Here is a 20,520-nt window from a genome sequence, read left to right as displayed (position 1 = left end):
GAGAAAACCAGGAAAAATCCTTACAAATATTTTCTGAACATTTTGCATAATTGCCATTTTGCCTGTCATTATAAACCAAAAATTCTTGGCCTTTAGCTGCTATGTTTGGATAAACATAAAACTTTATCAAGTATAAAAGTATACTTGAGGCTGGGTGTGGTGGCTCATGCCTGTAATCCTAGCAATGTGGGAGGCCAAGGCAGCTGGATTGCTTGAGCCCAGAAGTTCGAGACCAGCCTGGGCAATATGGTGAAACCCTGTCTCTACTAAAAATACAAAAATTAGCCAGGCACAGTGGTGTGTTCCTGTGGTCCCAGCTACTTGGGAGGCTGAGGCAGGAGAATCGCTTGAACCTGGGAGGTGGAGGTTGCAATGAGCTGAGATCCCACCACTGCACTCTAGCCTGCGCAACAGGAGTGAAAGCCTATCTAAAAAAAAAAAGAAAAAGAAAAAAAGTCTTGACTAGGACAGCATTCAGTACTAATAACCTAAACTTTGTCTTTCTTAATTCCTTCTGTGACTGTCAACAACCAAAAAAAAAATCAGATCAAGAATGACATTTTTTAAAATGAGAAAAATTCTTGGTTCTATTACATTTTTTTATATATGGGAATAGGTAATATTTGTTGAAAATTGTGAAAAACCCTCTAGAATTCATAGAAATACCTAGAATATATAAAAATATACACAAAATGGCATAATATGTAGAATAGCTACATATTATGTAAGTAGGAAACTTACAAATAAACAATAAAGATCAATATTATGACTAAACATTATCCTCATTTTAGAGGTGACAGTTGGGAAACAAATAAGTAGATATGAGAGAAGTAAAGCTTTCCTAAGTGACCCTCATGTGACCAACTTTATTTCCATTATTCAAAAACTTCCAATATACCTCTGCTACTTAATGATTAAATGCTAAATTTCTCAGCCAATTTGCCTGTCAGCCTGGACACTCACAATGTCCAAAATTGCTTAATGCTTCAAACACTCTGTATTCCCCAAATTTCTATGAAAATGCATTGTGTTTCTCACACTTTTGTTTCTATTACTTCTTTTCCTTGAAGTGACTTTCATTCTCATTATTTCCCAGCAATCTTCGGCCATAAACCTTCCACTCTTTGAAGTTTATCTTCAATACTGTTTACTCCATGATAACTTTCCAGATTTACTGGACAAAGCGATGCTTTCCTATTTATTAGTCTTACCACATGTTGTTTAAACCTTTCTTATGAAATCTACTTAAAGTTTTGGATGGCAGATAGTCCTAAATTACCCATTTTGCTTTATGGTGAGACTCTTGAGGGCATTGTGTTGCAAAACTTAGATTCCTTTCATTTCCTAGAATGGAATTTCTGCTGAACCCGTGAATAAACTGAGTTGTTTTTCAGGGACATGGATTTTCAGACATTAAAATCTGGAACCCTCTTTGTTTGAAAGCTGATAGTTTAAAAATACTTCTTTAAAAACTTGTTTTAGGGTGACCATATTTAATATTAACTCAAACTCAGGAAAATGTATTTTTCATCTTGTTATATGTGTTTTGGCTCTATTGATATATATTCATTATATATACATTTGTATATGTGGCTTAGTTCTAAAGATAAAACATAATTGATTCTCATTATCTTTCAGAATTTTTACTGTATTAGTCTGTTCTCACATTGCTATGAAGAAATACCCAAGATTAAGTCATTTATAAAGAAAAGACATTTAATTGACTCACAGTTCCACATTGCTGGGGAGGCCTCAGGAAACTTACAATCATGGCAGAAGGCAAAGGACAATCAGGCACCTTCTTCACAGGGTGGCAGGATGGAGTGCAAGAAGGGGAAATGCCAGATGCTTATAAAACCATCAGATCTCGTGAGACACATTCACTATCACGAGAACAGCATGGAGGAAACAGTCCCTATGATCCCATTACCTCCACCTGGTCCCATCCTTGACACAAGGGGATTATGGGGATTGTAGGGATTACAATTCAAAGTGAGATTTTGGGTGAGGGCACAGCCAAACCACATTAGAAGCATTCAACTAATATAAGGGATAGGCATGTATGTCAGAGTTTCAAAAATCAATTTGATTTCTTTTAATGGGGTAGATATAAATGGAGGGAAAAAACAGATAAAGATTTTCTTCCACCACTCCACCACACACAAACACACACACACACACTCACACACACACAGTTAAAAGTTGACCACTATGGTAGTTTTAAAGATACATACACACAAGTGGAGTTTAATTCCGCTCCCACTGAGTGTGGGCTGGACTTATTGACTTACTTCTAGTAATAGAACATGGCAGAAGTGATCTGCCCACTTAGGCCTCCCAAAGTGCTGGGATTACAGGCGTGAGCCACCACGCCCAGCCCATCTCTCTCTTTACAATCACTTCTTTAGAGAAAGCCAGCTACTATATCATAGGAGCAGCCCTATGGAGAGGCCCATGTGGTGACAAATGGAAGCCACATAGCTGACTCTATTTCCTTGGAATGTGTCAGCAGCCATGTAAGTGAGCTCAAAAGCAACTCCTCAAGGACCTTAAAATGACTACAATCTCATGATAATCTCTGAATAGGAATCACCCACTTAAGCCACCCTTGGATTCCTGACCCACAGAAACTTCCACAGTAGATAACGATTACAACTAACAAATCCTTCAATATATTTTCTGTCTTCTCAGCCATAATTTTTGTCATCTTCTCAAGAAATTGACTAGAAACTATAATAGCTTCATGCCAAGGAGGACCAGAAAGCAATTCACAGGGATCAACTTAAGATCGCTATCCACATCTCAGCTGTGTGACCTTGAGGGCGTTAGCTGACATTTTTTGTCTTCGTTTCCTGTTACACTTACAGTGATAATCACTGAATCTACCCCAAGAAGATTAGGATAAAATACATTACTAAAATAAAAGTACTTAGGATTGTACCTGGAAACTGGTAATGGCTCCATAGATGTTAGCTATGTTATTACATTATTATTATTATTATTTTGGTTCATAAAATAAAGCTAAGTGGTCTCCCAGATAGACATTCAGTCTTACAGAGTAATAATACACAGCCAGTATTCTGAAACCTGCATGTACAACTGATGAAAACATCTCCTTCCCATACTGTCAGAAACTAGGCTGCTTGTGGCATAATTGGTAGTCCTAAAAAGTGAGTATGATCCATAACAGAAATTCAAACTGAAATCCAAAGAAATTGTAGGAAAGTTTCCCAGAGATCTCAGTCAATTCAATAACCCTGCACGGCTGTTAGAACTACATTCCATGTGTTATTACACAACTGACAGGTCACGGGATAAATCATTCCAAAGGGATGTCACACAATACCATGTGGCCCTGAGCTCTCTTGTCCTGCAGCCAAGGGGAAGCACCTATAATAGCTTTTTTTGCACATATTCATTTTCTTTTTGAAAGTACATTCTTTTGGATGTACTTATTTTGAAAATAAGAACTTTGCCAAAACTAATTAATTCTCAAATAACATTTAGTATTTCTGGTTTGCAATATTTAGTATTTCCTTTTTGTAAATAAAAATGGGAAAGAACAACTTCAACATGATAATAACTGATGCCTATCAGATCTGAGAAACACAACACAGACCAATTTTTAATCTCTCCCTCTGCACTTTTCCACTTCAGGCAAAAGAAATGAGTCATATCAAATTTAATTCTCGTGACAGAAGGAATCACATACTGTGCTGTTTATCCCCCATGAATGTCTGCATTAACTTCTCTCCCTTATCTAGCTTTTAGAATTTCAAAGTTCAGTTCTTCAGAAATGGGGCTGTATGTTCACTCAGGCAACTGTAGTTCAGAACTATATTTTTGGGCAAAGTAAAACAGCTTTTCTTTTTAAATAGAACAGTGTACTTTGTACTCGTCCTTTCATTAGGCAGAAAATTAACTCCCACTTTCTATTAGGAATATAAATGTTCCCGCTAGCAATCTAAGTAAGATAAATAAAAGAAAATCCCTACAAAGGAAAAAAATGGCTATTTGAAATTATAGGTACGTGAAACAAAATAAAAATAATTTATCACTATACCTTATTTCTGGTTGGGATGGGGAGGAAGGATTGGTAGGACTGTCTGAAAATAGAAAACAATCATGAAAAAAAATGATTACTAATAGGGACCTCTGTGGATTTGGGGTACACCAGCAGTTGACCTGGAGCTTCTACCTACCACAGCTCTAGCAATCTGTTAAGAATTTTTTTTAAGTCCCCTTGATTCAAGATTATTTGCAAGATCACAGTTTGCTATTTATACATTCATTCGAGAAACTGTAAATAAGGTGAAATACCAACTGCAGTCAGCATGACCTGACCCCTCCATCTGTAAACCACAGCCTCTTCTGGACATGAAAGAGGGCCTCTGATGGAACTAGGCTTCATAGCTGCCTCCTTAAAAAGTCAAAGTAGGGTCATTATCTGCAGGTTCTTCTCTTCTCTTTTTCCTTTATTAAAATTGCCCATTCTTTGAGACTCATTTGAGTCTCACCTTCTCGCTGATGTTTTATCTGATTACTCAGTGAGCACTGACCTCTCCCTTTTCTGAACATCAAGTTTATTTCTGGCCTATATCAATGTACTGCCAATTAATTAAATACATTATTTACTTACTTGTTTGTGTCTTTTCTGTTAAAAATACGTAAGAATAGGCTAATGTTTTACATGTTTGTATTTATGGAATTTTGCTACTCAAGCTTTTTAAAACTATGTTTGGTTTTGTGGAAAATGATCTTGTTCCCTTCAGACACAAGTTCTAAAGTGTAAGTCATAGTTTATTACTGCCTTGTGGTAATGAAGTATAATTTGAAATCTTATGTAACAACAATAGGTGTAAAGCATAGCTTCAAAGTTCAGATAAAAAAAATGGGAGAAGATAGTCAGGGCATTAAAGACTATATACAGACTGGTCAACTTCCCTAAAAGAGAGATTAGGTGGGTTGTTTCTTACAGTGCAGAGGTTCTCGATGTTCAAGCTGTAATATCAGTAAAGGATGATAAATGGCATGTCACGGACAGAACAGCTACTCAAGATGGTAGCTAATCTAGTTACCAAATGTGTATACAAAAATTAATCATTTTCCAATATACCACCAACATTATGTTAGGAAGTTAGAGAGGGTGGCCATTTATAAAACAACAAAAATATAAAATATATATGACCTGATTTAACAAGAAATGTTTTGAACCTATATGAGGTATCATAAAAATATTTAATGAGACATAAAAATAAGCTTGAATAAATGAAAAAATATATTTGTGCCTGCATGGGAAGGAAAAATATTACCAAGATGACAATTCTCTCAAAATTACTTTATAAATTTAATGAAAATTCCAATAAAAGTTTTTCCCAGAATTGAAAAAAACAATTATAAAACTTATGCAAACACGGCAAACTAAGGGCAAAAATCTCTGCTAAAGAAGAACAATCAAGACAGGTGCTGTGGCTCTCGCCTGTAATCCCAGCACTTTGGAAGGCTAAAGTGGATGGATCACCTGAGCTCAGGAGTTTGAAACCAGCCTGGGCAACACAGTGAAACCCTATCTCCACCAAAAAAACAAAACAAACATACAAAAAACAAAAACAAAAGAGAGAGAGAGAACAGAGAAGACCTGCACTTTTACATTTTCAAATATATCTAAGTATACAAGAATTAAGATAACGTGTTAATAATACTTAATACTAGAAAAGACAGTTTACCACGGGAACAGAATAGTGAGCTCTGACACAAAACTGAGTACATTATAAGTATTTAGCAGATAGTAAACCTGGCATTTTAAGTGTCAATCAAGAAATAGTATAGTTACCTATTTGAAAAAAAAAAATCAGTAGGACTCCTATTGGAATGCTTTCGGATCCTTTATAAATTCATCCAGAGCCCAGAAGACCAATATTTTTGCTTACTTCTCTCAGCTACAGTAGCCTTTCCTTTGGATATATTTCATTCTAGTAAGTAAAAAGCTAAATATCCATTGTTTGACATGGGTATGTAACTTCTCTTATTTTCTAATTAAATTTCATTTCTCTAATGACAACAAACTATGATAAAAAATATGAACTTCCTTGCCTAGAACTTTGCTTATGCACCTTCATCTTTTGATTTCAGGATTTAATTATGATTTCAGCATTTAATTATCATCTGCTTCTGTCTATAATTTCTTTCATATTTTCTTCACATATTACACTGAGCTCTGGACACCTACTTATTCATTTGTCAAAAACAAAACTGAAAATATTTTTAACAGAGAAGCTAAAAATCTTTATGCCTTTGCTGAGCCACAGCTGAACTCTAAAGACTTTGATTGTTTCAAAGACCAAAGGTACCTAATACCAGAAATGTTTTGTGTCATGATAGAACCTACAGCTGCATATTTATAGTATGTGCATATGGAACCACATAAACCTTAAATAAAAAAAAATTAAACGAGAATCACTTGGTTTAAATCTCATTATCTTTAGGATATTGATAAATCAACTAGCCACATTGTGACTCAGTTTCCTCATTTTTGAAATGTGTATATTACCTTTTGACTAACATTCCTTACTAAGATGTGATGAAGAGTAACTGAAATACTGTATATGAAAACATGTTGAAAACTCCAAGGTGCTATATGAATGCTAGTTGGCATTGACAGCTATTCCTCATTCTCTTTTTGGTCATAGCCACGGAAGCCCTAGTCTGGCAGGAAAGAAGAGTCATTAGGCATCATCTGGCAACTTGGCTTGGAGAAGTCAGATCAGTCACCAAGAGTCTGGTGGGGCTGCAGCAATGGCTAGAAAGAACCAGTGACATGATTGCCAGGTAGGTGCCAGTGCAAGTCTTGAGCCTGCCCAGACATTACTATGTACTCTGTCCTCCATCCTCCTAGCATATCCACCTTAGCCACCACCTTGTTGATGATCTTTGCCTGAACTACTCATCTACGCCACTGTGTGAACTCTATCAATAACCTCAAAGTGGTATTTTATCACCTTTAAATTATACCCAAAGTCATGCTCACATGAATTAGAAGGGTTAGGGCTCTCATCTCAGTTCTATCTCCTCCTTACCCAGTTAGAGGTGGAGGTTTCTCTGTCCAGGAAGTAGGTACTGCAGAGTCCTTCAGGATAACTAGGGTCTGATATGAGAGAATATGTTCCTCCTTACTTCATTGAGCAACCTTTCCAGAGGCATTGAGTTCCCCTTTGCCAGGTGTTGGGCAGAAGTCTGGCCAGGGTTGCATGGAGGATTCCAAGGCTTGGGCCTGACTCAGGGCTTCTGTCCTATTGAACCAAACTTGCAACCTCAAGACACTTCTCTCCTATTTTCCATCCTCCTAGTCTCTACTTCCTCTCCCCTAAGCAAACTCATTTTGACAGATAATTTCAAGGAAAAAAGAAGATGTCAAATAAACGGTTTAAAAAGTATTTTTTGTGGTTGCTCTGAAGTCCAAGGATAATTTTTTCATTTTATTTTTAAATACTTAAGGATTGAATACGTAAAGGATTGCAATGAAACTATCATGAATAATTAAAATGCTTGCCTTCTGTAAGCCTACAAGGGTATTTTACTATGCCACATATGGTATCATTTCAGCTTGGATATTTTGCCTAAAACAAGGGAAAATTTTAATAATAAGTCCTACATAAAATTATAGTAATGATGTTTGTCCCAAATAGAAATTCTGTGTCCTATTGCTATTTCATCTTTTTCATAGTAAGACTCAAATAAAATGATTGTGATCTTTAGTGAAAGGACTATGGAGCCCTGGGAGGCCCAGATGCTCAACATAAAAAAACTAGAGATAGAGGAGAGATGAAAAGATTGAGATAAAGGGATCTGTAGATGCTAAAATCAACACAGATCCTGAAGACAGATGTAGGAGAGTAAGAGAGAGGCAGAGGCCCGGCAGTGCTAGGATTCAAGTCTATTTCTTTCTTAGAATTATTGAAAATGTATTGTAGGCTGTGTTTGTTTGAAAAATAACTGTCAGAAGAAAAAATATATATACATTTTAATTTTGGAAAATTTCACGGCTGCACTCATTAAAGTAACTAACAAACCCCAAATAATTATTTTAAGAATGCCATTCTTCACTTTAGCTTATGATAATCTCCTTTTAAGCCCTACTAATAAACAGGGAATCCCATTTGTGTTTATATAACATAGCACGTGATGAATTCAGCCGTAGCATCAGAATTCTACATTTGCTTTTGAGATTACAAGCACTTCACATACTAATGCTGCAAGTTAGCTTATCACCTCTACCCTGTAGAAAGAAGAAAAACTAATTGACAAAGCTATTTTTTTGTGTGTATGTGAGACATTCCAAATTCAGACAGAGGGTTCTGGTTTCAGTTACCTCTGGGACTTTCAAATGGCCATTTGGAATTTGACCTATGGTGTTTTGTTCCAGAATAACAAGCAAAGTAAAATAATCCATGTAGCCCTTGAGGATATGACAAAAGGCTGGGGTTAAGGGAGAAGGAGGAGGAGGGAAAATAATGACGGATTGTATCTGTCCTCAGTCACTTCCTGGAGTTTAAGGTAGGCAGCTAAATCCCATTTTATCCATTCTCTGACACTGCAAACAGAGGTACTGCCAGTCAAGATAGATCACAAAAGGCTTGTATTTCATTTTTCATAAAACCCTAGAACAATCAGATCTTCCTACTGAGACAGGACTTTTTATCTGGGTAGAAATATAGAGAAAAATGCTAGATTTCTCATTCTGAAGGGTCCATGTGCTAGACAGCGTGAAGATGTCTATTCAACAGTGGCTTGAGAAACGTCAAAACTCTTGCATTTTACTCATCTTTGAGCTATTACACAAAGGGGCTTTTTCTAATTTTAATTTTGACTATTTCTTTTTTTTCTTTTTCCTTTTTAATTTAAATCAGAGACATATGTTTTTCTTGGTTAAACAGTATAATATGAATCACATGCATTTTTAAGGGTCAGTGCCAAGAAAAAGATTTTGTAACTTAAGAAACCAAAACAACAGGTTGACCTCAATTTAAATCCCACAAAATCTCATTGTCTTAATACAAGGAAAACAGCATGATTTTAGTGCATATTTCTGAGGAAATAAAGAAGATTATATAACTTGTTTTTTTCTTCCTATTAGAGGCAATCTGGAAGCTTCTTAAATTAACTTAGGAGCAATTTTTCTTTCAGGAGCAAAAGTATTTAGCTTTTGGAGCTATATGTGTGTTCATTTAACCAATCAATTAATTTAATCCATCAATAAATTTTTGAGTATGATTTTAATTGTCAGGTCCTATGCTAGGTTCAGAGTAAACACGGTAAGCCAAAAACAAAACAAAAAAACCTAAAAAAACAAAAAACCAGACACTGCCCTTCTCTCTCTTTACAGACAACAAATAAACAACAACGAAAACATTGCACAGTTACTCACTGATTATGATAAATTGCCAGCAAGGAACAGGTGATCTACTCTAATTGAGATGACCTTTTCTTTTTTTTTAGATAGAGTGGTCAGAGAAGACCTTTCTGAGGCCATGGTATTTAAGATGAGACTTGAAGAGCAACAAGAAGCTAGACACACAAAGCAGATAATTTTTTAATGGCCATTTCTGGAGAGAAGTTTCCAAGGGATGAAGTTATTATACAGTTTCCAAATATTCCTGAAGAGGTCTAAAGAAAATGTATTCTGATTCCACCTTTTACCTGTTTTCCTTTTTTTTTTTCTCTCTCTCTCTTTTTGGAATTTGTTATTTGGATATAGGATACACTAGGCTGGTGCTCCAATTTTCTTATATTTTCTGTTTTCCTTGAAGTTTTAGGGGACTTTCTGAACTTTATTTTTCAAAATTCAGTTGAGTCTTTATTGTTTTCCAAATATCAACATTTCTTACCCAGACTAATGAACTAGCCTACTCACTCATCTTTCTGATCCTATTCCTCTATATTATCCACCCCAATCCCAAGTTAATTCTTGTATGGTCTTTTTGAAAGACTGCATGAGGTTTTTTGTTTTTATTTCTGCTTAAATTATTTGCTGATTTATTTGCACTTAGGATACAGGCCTAAATCCTTAGCTTTGCTGACATCATGAAAGATGTGGGCCCTCCCTAGCACTCCAGTTTCATCTTACATCATGCCACTCTTTGGTACTTTATCCTTACTGTCCAGCTTCATTTCCTAGAGTGTCCTGTGACCCTCTTGACTCAGAGCCTCTGCACGTGCTGTTCCCTGTGTTTGTCTCCTTTGTCCAGCTCTACCAACTTCCTTTATCTCTCAGTGTTCAGGTGTCATCTCATCTCCAGCATGAATTAGATGTCTTATCTTGTGCTTCTCATTGGGCTATACTGTAATGCTTAGCACATTAGTCAGTTCCCTCATTGCTATAAAGAAATACCTGAGGCTGGGTAATTTATAAAGAAAGGAGGTTTAATTGGCTCACAGTTCTGCAGGCTGTACAGGAAGCATAGTGGCTTCTGTTTCTAGGGAGGCCTCAGGGAGCTTTCAATCATGGTGGAAGGCAAAGGAGAAGCAAGGCATGTCACATGGCCAGAGGAGGAAGGAGAGGGGCGGAGGAAGCGCCATACACTTTTAAACAACCAGATTGCATGATAACTCACTCATTCAACATCAGGAGAACAGCACTGGGGGATTGGTGATCCATGATCCAATCATCTCCCACCAGGCCCCACCTCCAGCACTGGGGATTACAATTCGACATGGGATTTGGGGAGGGACAAGATCCAAAACATACTACTTAGTTAACACACTTGTATCACCACCAGGCTGAGAGCTATTCTAACAGCTCTTTGTATCTTTGTATCCTCAACACAAAGCACAGTCTTTAGCATATAGTGTTTATAATTATGTTACAAATGAATAACATAGCTCATTTAGTATGAAGAAAAATAAACTATCAGTGATAATAAAGAATCTATAGTTGAAAATAGGTATGATTTTCAAGAAAAATCTTTTTCAAAGAAGAGATTTTTATAGAAAATAAACATTAACATTTTCTTACTTTCTTTGTTTTGCCCATTGCCTTCAGGATGGAAAGATTCAGGTCTTCAAGTGCTGCTAGTACATTCTCATACTCGCCCAAGTGCTGAGAAAAATATTCTGAAAAATGAAAATATTGAAATAAATTCATATTTGAGTTTAGGTAACCATAAAACAAAAAAATCAACTAATTATTTACTCCTTAAATGAGTAAAACAAAATGTCAGCTATAAGTGAAAACTGGAAGGTTTCCAAATAAGACTAAATAAGGTGACAATCTGCTCATTTCACTAAGACATCAAGAAAAAAGAAAAGGAAATCTGAATGATTACCATTATCCTTGAAGAAATGTTCCTTCCTACAAAAGTAGGAAAAAATAAATCTGAATCTACTGACAAGGATGTTTCAATAAAAAATTATTTTTGACAATGTAGTATTATAGATCTCACTGGGATAGTAATTTTAGAAAAAAGTTAAGTTACATTTTATTGTTTCTTGGAGGAAACATTTAAGGAAGTTAAGCTCTTCTCAAGGTTAAGAGTCAGTGATGCAAAACATGAGAGGGTCTTCTGTGGCACCTTCTATGTAACTGTCCCTGTCACAATCTTTTTTTTTTTTTTCCAACAATTTGGGCAGAGAAAAAGTAAAGTCTATCACTCTTTTCAGTTGCTAGGAATAAATAATATAGTGGATTTGTGATTAAAATTAAAAGTATGGAACATGAACTGATCCTAAACTAGTAAGTTGAAATATTTATAAATGCAAAATCTTATATTTACTTATAGAAATCTATGCATTTCTATAATGAAAGCAAACTAGCTTAACATAAATTTATATATTGAGAAGATCTAGGGTTTTCAGACACTAAAACATGAATAGTCCTCACCATTCCTGTGAACCCTTCCTTGGATGAACTGTAGTTTATTGCCATCTCTCTTTAATGTGCCACAGTATTTGTGGAACTAAATTAAAATGATAAATATTATCACATATAAGCCACTCGAGATTATGGGAATACATTTCAGCATGTTTGATGGAAACCGCCTTGATTAATTTATTTAATACTCTAGGAAATATTTGTTTATATTGATATTAATAACAACTGGAAATTGCCATTGACTGATATATTAGTTAGTGTACAGACTTCTTTTGAGAAGAAAATAAACACAGGTGGACACTAAATCAATTCCAGATCATGGTTGTCAAAATACAGTCTGTATACACTTAGGTTAAAAACAAATAACATATTTTTGACAAAAAGTAAAATGCATTCCTTAAAAACAATGTGGTGTAAACTATCTCTTATAAAGATTCTTTAGAAAGTGATTAGTTGGAAGATAAATAAAATATTTACTCCTTAAATACCTGCTTCAAAATAACATTTTAATTTGTGGTTATAATGTTGACTTTTTGATAAGGTTGACAAATATGTCTAACTTTATTTGTGCAATTATTTATAACAAATGAACACTCTTCATCAACCAGCGAGCAGTTAATGTGGCCGTAGAATATTCGTAAGTTGGAAAAATAATGAATATCAGAACTGAGTCTATACTATGTTGAAACAAGCAAAAAGCATAAGAAAAATGCCAAAAAGTGAAGCTGTTACTTCATTTTTATTTTAAAACTTGTATATATAATGCCTCAAAGAGGATTGTGACAGGGGTTTTAAATGCAAATAGACAAAAATATAAAGTGAAAACAGGTTGGGCATGGAGGCTCGTGCGTATAATCTCAGTATTTTGGGAAGCTAAGGCAGAAGGATCACTTGAGCCCAGGAATTCGTGACCAGCCTGGGCCACACAGCATGGTGGTATGTGCCTCTGATCCCAGCTACTTGGGAGGCTGAGGTGGGAGGATTGCTTGAGCCTGGGAAGTCGAGGCTGCAGTGAGCCGTGATAGTGCCACTGCACTCCAGCCTGGGCTACAGATGAGACATTGTCTAAAAAAAAAAAAAAAGAAAGTGAAAACAAAAAAATTGTTGCTAAAAAAGCAACACTCTCTCTCTCGATATATATATATTATATATAGATATCTATATATAGATACCTATATTATATATATAATATATATAATATATATTATATATAAGATATATATTATATAAATAATAAATAATAAATATAATATATATTATATATAATATAGATATCTATATATAATATATGTAGAGAGAGAGAGAGACAGTGATTAGTTAGAAGATAAATAAGAAAATACTTACTATATATATATATAGAGAGAGAGAGGTAAAGCCTCTTTTTAAAATAAATATTTCATTCATGGACATTTGGCTTAATTAGTAAAGGTTCCTGGAGAGAATTTAAGTTGTCTTTCCACTTTAAAATTGGACCTATGCACACAGATGCAGGCATATGCTGATAAAGCATATAAGAAAAACAATGACTAGAAGCTTCAGAGCTGACACCTATCTAGACTTCATTCTTTCTGTCCTTCATTCATCCATTTATTCATCTCAACTCTCCAAGTTAGAAAAAAAGAACAATCACTAGATAGTAAAGAAAATGACTGAGAAGGAAGAGAATTACAATACTTAAGTCATGGATAGGAGCTTAAGTTGGAAATCTAAGTGTAAGGATTATTTTGAGGTGGTGCAGCTCAGTGTCACTAAGGCTCTTTTATAACTTACTCACTGAGGGATATGGGTCAGGCAGTCAAGGCAAGGGGGCTCCAATAAACTCAAAGAGGGAAGTTAGATGAAAGAGCCAGACACATCCAACATAGATAAAGAGAGATAACTCCCCTCCACTTCATCATAGCGAGTGTTCACTTACTCATTCTGTGGCCTAACAAACCTTTACTTAGGGCCTTTTATGTGCCAGGTGCTATCATAGGAGCTTGGAATACAAAGGTGAAAAGACAGAAGCCCTAAAGTCAGAGAGGAGAGAGAAACATTCCAAGTAACAACTGCAATACACATAATCATTGTTAAAGACAATGGTTGAAGGGCCCAGATACAAGGTGCAATCCAAATAGAGGATAAGGCAGGAGAATTGCTTGAACCAGGGATACCAAGGTTGCAGTGAGCCGAAATTGTGCCACTGCACTCCAGCCTGGGTGACAGAACGAGATCCTGTCTTTGAAAAAAAAAAAAGAAAAAGAATGCCCAAGTCTGCCTGGGTGAGTCAGAGAGGGCTTCATAGGAGAAACACCAGCAATGGCTCAGTTAACAGATGAATAGGACTTAACCTGCTGGATACTCAGAGGAAGGGCATGGAAGCAGCTGTTTTCCTGTCATGTTTGCAGGAGTATGTGTAGTTCAGCACTGCCAAGACATAAAGAACAGGGCTGGAACATATTTGAGAATGGGAGGCAGCAAGGAAACAAATCCTAAAAGTCAGTGTTGGGAGATAAAGCTGTATGTGTTGGAAACAGTCCTTGCCAGATGCTCTTTGATCCTCAAGTCTAGGTAAGTGTTTTTGACCACCTGCATCAGAATCCTCTAGTACTTCACTGTCCAAAGTTTGTTTTGTGGACCAGCAGCATTAGTTTCACCTAGGAGCTTGTTAGAACTCAGTGTCTCAGGCCCACTTCCAGTCCTGTTGAATCACATTCTGCATTTTAATAAGACCCCCAGGTGATTTGTAGGCTTATTTAAGTTTGAGAAACACTACTCTAGGGTACTTGTTAGACATGAAGATAACTGAGAAGGTCTCATCTAGTAAATCACAATCTTTGGGTTGAGGGCGAGGTTCCCTAGGAGATTATGATGCAGAGTAAATTCGAGACCACTATGGGCAATGGGAAGCCATGGAAAGGAGAGTGACATCCTCAAATTCTCCTATCAGAAAAGGAAGGGATGCACTAAGGATGATTTGGGAATGTTGGTGACACCATCAAGAGAGAAGGGAGGTATCAACTGCCAGGAGGGATTTCATCACACAACTAGGACTATGAGCCATGCCAAAGCTTTGAAGTGGAATGAGCGGTGGAGTCCAGAATTTCAGCAGATCTGCAAACTCCAAGATGTGGTAGGCAGGAGGGAAGGACAGTGACATATTTGGAAGTGGCTGAGCTTGGACTAAAGTTTTATTCCAAGTTTCTCATGTTTGTGACTGATGTTTCTCATTTGAATCACAATACCAGTGTGAGTAGGGCAAATGTATATTGTCCTTAAGTCATGGCATTAGAAAGAATGACTTGGAACAAATATTGATTCCTTAAAATGCTTTCCTTTGGTAACTAGAAGAACTTCCTGAAGAAAAGACCTATTTTGTTGAAACCTGTATGTGGGTTTCATGAACTTGAGCAAAACAGAGTCATATTGCACTTATGGAAATGTGTGAAAACCAATTCTCATCAGTTTAAATGAAGTATCATTGAAAAGTAGAGTCTGAATATTAGGTATGATGAAAAAGTAGAGCACAGTTTATAAGCAGATGTAGTAAGCCTGTTATCTGTCAGGAAGCAGGCTATATTCTCATGGATATCCAGTGTGCCATCTTCTCTACTAAAATGCTAACAAAAAATTAGTTTCTACCTGCCTTTCTGTACTTAATCAGTGGTGTTGCATTACCAAACTACAGTTTTGTTCTGTTTTTCTATCCTGCACCTTAGTCTTTCAAGTTGTTGAGTTTTCAGGTCAGCTTAATAATTCTGTCAGAAGCAAAGGACCCACAGCTGCCACAAAAGTCTCAGTGGAAACTGGTCTTACAAAGTATTCTCATGAGTTTAGATGACTCTCATCTAAACTTCTCAAGCAGTTAGACTTTCTCAAGTAGTAGACTAGGTAGAAAAGAAAGTAATTGAGATGAGAGAGAGTGTTAAAACCCGCATGTTCTGAATAGGGAGGTCAGTCAGATCTAGAAATGTGGGCTATTTTGAGGGGATGCAGATAAGCGACACGCAAACTCTCTTACATCTCAATCATCAGTGACATGTGCCACTGGAGGAGGACACAGCAGTCTGGAGGAGGGCATAGAGCCTTCTGATTTCCTAGCACTCAGACTTGCTGGCACAGGTCTCTGAGCACTGTCCAGGCTCTGCCAATCTCTGCAGCCTGGGTGCTTAGTGCACAGCTACCGAAAGGAACCTTGGGTATGAAGGGAATAAGCTTTTATTCTGGAGTTTCCCGTACGCTCAGTTATTTTATTTTACTTTACTTTATTTATTATTATTATTTTTTGAGACAGAGTCTTGCTCTGTCGCCCAGGCTGGAGTGCAGTGGCCTGATCTCAGCTCACTGCAAGCTCCGCCTCCCGGGTTCACGCCATTCTCCTGCCTCAGCCTCCAGAGTAGCTGGGACTACAGGCGCCTGCCACCACGCCCGGTAATTTTTTTTTTTTTTTTTGTATTTTTAGTAGAGATGGGGTTTCACCGTGGTCTTGATCTCCTGATCTCGTGATCCACCCGCCTCAGCCTCCCAAAGTGCTGGGATTACAGGCGTGAGCCACCGCGCCCGGCCCCCGTACCCTCAGTTTTTATCCATCTTATTTATAGACTTCATATAACTTTTAAAATAGTTTAATATTTTGTAGATAACACCCGACTAGATGAGAAATTACACTATTAAATATATTCAACCTTCCTCACAAAGCTTTCTTACAGAAAGGCTTTCAGATCAAGCACATTCATTGCAATTATTCTTCGCTCATCTGTAAATATTTCAACTACCTATTCTTTTTTTTTTTTTTTTTTTTTTTTTTTTGAGACGGAGTCTCGCTCTGTCGCCCAGGCCGGACTGCGGACTGCAGTGGCGCAATCTCGGCTCACTGCAAGCTCCGCTTCCCGGGTTCACACCATTCTCCTGTCTCAGCCTCCCGAGTAGCTGGGACTACAGGCGCCCGCCACCGCGCCCGGCTAATTTTTTGTATTTTTAGTAGAGACGGGGTTTCACCTTGTTAGCCAGGATGGTCTCGATCTCCTGACCTCATGATCCACCCGCCTCGGCCTCCCAAAGTGCTGGGATTACAGGCGTGAGCCACCGCGCCCGGCCTCAACTATCTATTCTTAACTACCAACTTCAAGATCTGCAAAACGGTTCAGTAAAAATGAGTAAGGTTATGAAAACAGTCATAAACAGGGTAGGGCCAGGAAAGGTAGTAATTATACTCCTGAAGCTTTAGATTATAGCTAATTATGGTAGAAATACAAAATCAAAGCTTTAATGCCAGAGTTCAAACACAATTGCCTAATTAAAACTGAGTTATGTATTGACTGATCGTGATAAGATACGGCAAAAAAAAAATGCATTTAGGAAGGCCTTCACAATTGTATGTGAAGAGTGGATAATTTTGGCACTTCTATAAACTGCTGGTGGGTGTGCACCTTAGAGAAGCCTTGATTGAGGAATTACATGTTTGGGAATCTACCATTCAGAATTCAGAATTACTTGAACGTGAGTGTGAGAATAATGTATATGAGAATATTTATTTCAATCCTGTTTTTCCCATGGAAGGTTGGATTCAAATTGAAAATCCATTAAAAGGAACTTGATTGAAAAAAATTAAGGTTCATGAGACACTATGCAGCCTTTAAATAAAATGAAGGAAAAGGGGATGCAACTGCACTAATCATATAGTATAATCTCACTGTTGGAAAAAACAACAACACGTACACATATATATCAATGTCAATATACACATAATAATGTCTGGAAGAATATGTTCCAAGTAAATAGTAGAGCTCAGTATTGGGGACGACAATGAGTGGCACAGAAGATTGACATGTTAGCTTATACGCCTACATAATTCTGTTAAATTTTAAAAATAGTAGTTATGTATTACTTTCACAATTAAAATTACAAACACATTTTTTTCAAAATAAATATTTTAAATTCTAGGTCCTTAACTTAGTAACTGACAAATTAAGTAAAAGCCTCAGAATTAAAGTTTTACATACCTGCAACTTCTAATTGGCTTCTAGGAAAGAACATATGAAATCTACTTTTCATGCCAATCAAGTTCTGCCCCTCCCACGCACAAGGGGGAATTTGTGCTGGGTGTGAATTGACATATTTCACTTGCTAACACTGAAGCATTTGGCTTTGATTAGAATCCAACTTAAATATTTACTTTATATTCACAAAATAATGAGAAATGAAATGACACTCTGGAGATTAAAATGCATATTCTTGAACAGAGAGGGGGAGGATTATAACACATGACTGAATACAATCACTGGATTTAAAAAACACAGAACAATTCCTGTTGAATTAAAGCCCCACATACCAGTTCCCTAACTAAAGCTATAGGGGGAAAATCATAGCCAAAGCTTTTTCCATAAATACAGGATAGGGACCTAACTAGTTCCATTATAGAAAAAAGGCATATTTTTAAAATATTTTTTTCAGTAGAGGAGTAAGTGGAGATATGCTATCATACTTTAGAACTTGAAGTACTTTCAAGGAAAAACAGAGGATAACACAATATTCCTTAATGACAATAGGCAGGCAACATAGCAAATAAAGAAGAACCACTTAGTGTTTTTATCTTAAAAGCCCTTATAACAGTTTGCTTTGTCATCAGCTGTGGCCTACCCAGGCAAAGTTAAGTGAAAAACAAAAAATAGATATAAATGAATGATTTGTGGAAATAATTACTTTGGCCTGACATAGCTAGACATTTTAGGGAAATGGGTCTGCTACCTTAATGAAATTATCAAGATAATCTTGTGTTCTCCATTTTATCTTTTCACTTCACTGACCAGGACTGTGTGCACATAGATGAGAGTGGACCACAACTTGGCCTTTATGGTGACTGCTATTCATCATAAAGCCTCACGGCAATGGTCCATATGGGCACTTTCAGGTACTTAACCATGTGTGCACAATGCTACTATCTGACTGTGTCTGAAAGAATGGCATGATTTTCCCTGTTGGTATTTCATAACTAACAAAAGCATGTCCTGCTTTGGTACCGGAGTACCTTGCTCCTCCATAAACATATCTTGAATTTCAATTGGATTTTCCTCCCTGAACCTGAGATGGACACTATGCTAGGATAAGAAGCATGAGTTTTTTTACAATCATTGGAAAATCTGAAAGGTCGTTGTTGGAGATTATGCTCATTTTGTTCAGTTATTGCCTTGAAACCCTGTATTCTGATATTTTGTTCTCGTATAACATCTTTTGGTGTTGCTCTACCACTTTGATGAAATGGAAAATAACCACTCTTGAATATAAGAAAATGGCCTTTTTTTATGGTTTTGGTAAATTCTGAAACTGTAAGAATTAGAAGATGTTCAGGAAATGCTGATAGTTTCAATGAGGAGTTCTCAGACAAAACTCAACTCTAACTACCAAAAATGTTTTGAGCAGCCTAGACAATAAGATCGAACTTAAATAAAAGTATTATCTTAAACATTTATCTTAAAACATAAAACATTAAACCTTCCAGTATTCAGAGAAAGATAGCTCTTTCAAATGGAATAGTCTCATAATGTTCTATTTTTTCATAAAATAATAAAATTTTAAAATTTTACCTTTCCATATTTCTAATCTTTAACTATTGTTCCAACCATAAAGATGAAGAAAATAAATGAAGAGGCTATTAAACCAGGCATTTGTAAAGATGTATCTGTCCCCATTGAATCACTTGTTTTGCAAGTGACATTTACAACTCCAGAATGGTTTAGGCAGGTATGAGACAAAGTTATTTTTACATTTCAAGAAGAGAGCTTTGTAAGGTAGTAACAAAAGGCTCTGCACAATATATCATGCAGAGAATAATGAAGTTGTATTAAACATCAATTTAAAAATATATTCAAACTTGTGGAGAATTTGCTCTTGCGAAACTAATGTACTGATTGTAACAACAATTCTTCTTCTATGAACGAACTAATGAGGCCCAACTCTTTCTGGAGTGAAATACATACTTGAGCAAAATTCACGGGTAAAGATAAATCCCTTGAGATCTCGATTAATTTTTCCTTTGTGAACTCCTAATATACAACATTAATTCCAAGGTTGATATATATCAGACAATACTCTTTTTCCTTCTTAAGCAAGTAATAGGTTTGACTGATCTTAAAGAAACACTTACCACATAGCTCTTCTGTGTCAAGATTACTGAAAAGATGAAACAAAAAAAAACAGTGTTATTACTTTGGTAATATTTTTAACTACGTTTTTAAATAGTTAAATACAGTTAGTCTCCAAGCTATATTATTAATTGATGGTATGTAGTTAAGGTATTTCTCTTATAAATTCTACATTATTTAAATAGTCTTAGGTCAATTAACAATGATTATGTCAGATTCTTCGGACAAATAATTCCTGAGATTTATATTTTCCTCTGCAACATGATGGGGAAAAGAATGCATATTGGTAAAGAATGTAGGCTCTGGATCCAGAATGCCTGAGTTCAAATCCTGACTCTGCAATTTAACTTCTATATGACTCTGGCTACTTTACATCTCTGTGTCTCAATTCGTCTGACCCAAGATGAGGATAGTAATAAAAATTTCTGGTTCATGGGATGCTGTAGGGTTTAAATGAATTAATACATAAAGCACTGAACTGTAATTGGCACAAAATAAGCACTTGATGAATGTTAGCTATCATAAGTCCTGACT

General features: G+C 36.3%; 1 protein-coding gene and 1 long non-coding RNA gene across 11 annotated transcripts in view; one reads left to right on the top strand and one right to left on the bottom strand.

The window, feature by feature from the left end:
- Positions 1–20,520, bottom strand: part of NECAB1 (N-terminal EF-hand calcium binding protein 1) — a 167,619-nt gene that overhangs the window by 67,252 nt on the left and 79,847 nt on the right. For both annotated transcript variants that reach the window (NM_022351.5, XM_011517213.3), the window contains exons 4-5: positions 19,989–20,014; positions 11,012–11,109 (exon numbers count right to left, since the gene is read on the bottom strand). In NM_022351.5, the coding sequence (NP_071746.1) occupies positions 11,012–11,109; positions 19,989–20,014 (124 nt within the window). The remainder of the gene's footprint in view (positions 1–11,011; positions 11,110–19,988; positions 20,015–20,520) is intronic.
- Positions 1–20,520, top strand: part of LOC105375634 (uncharacterized) — a 109,088-nt gene that overhangs the window by 61,845 nt on the left and 26,723 nt on the right. For 7 of the 9 annotated variants that reach the window (XR_928395.3, XR_928390.3, XR_928394.3 and 4 more), the window contains 2 exons: positions 6,690–6,828; positions 9,496–9,688. This is a non-coding gene — a long non-coding RNA (uncharacterized LOC105375634). Of the gene's footprint in view, positions 1–6,689; positions 6,829–9,495; positions 9,689–20,520 lie in introns of those variants that run through there. The other 2 variants (XR_928399.3, XR_928396.3) reach the window with 2 other exon arrangements.

This window comes from Homo sapiens, chromosome 8 (genome assembly GCF_000001405.40).
Source record: "Homo sapiens chromosome 8, GRCh38.p14 Primary Assembly".
In the NCBI taxonomy this organism is placed as follows: domain Eukaryota; kingdom Metazoa; phylum Chordata; class Mammalia; order Primates; family Hominidae; genus Homo; species Homo sapiens.
Note: the sequence above shows the minus strand (reverse complement) of the source record. Positions and strands in the feature narration are given on the sequence as shown.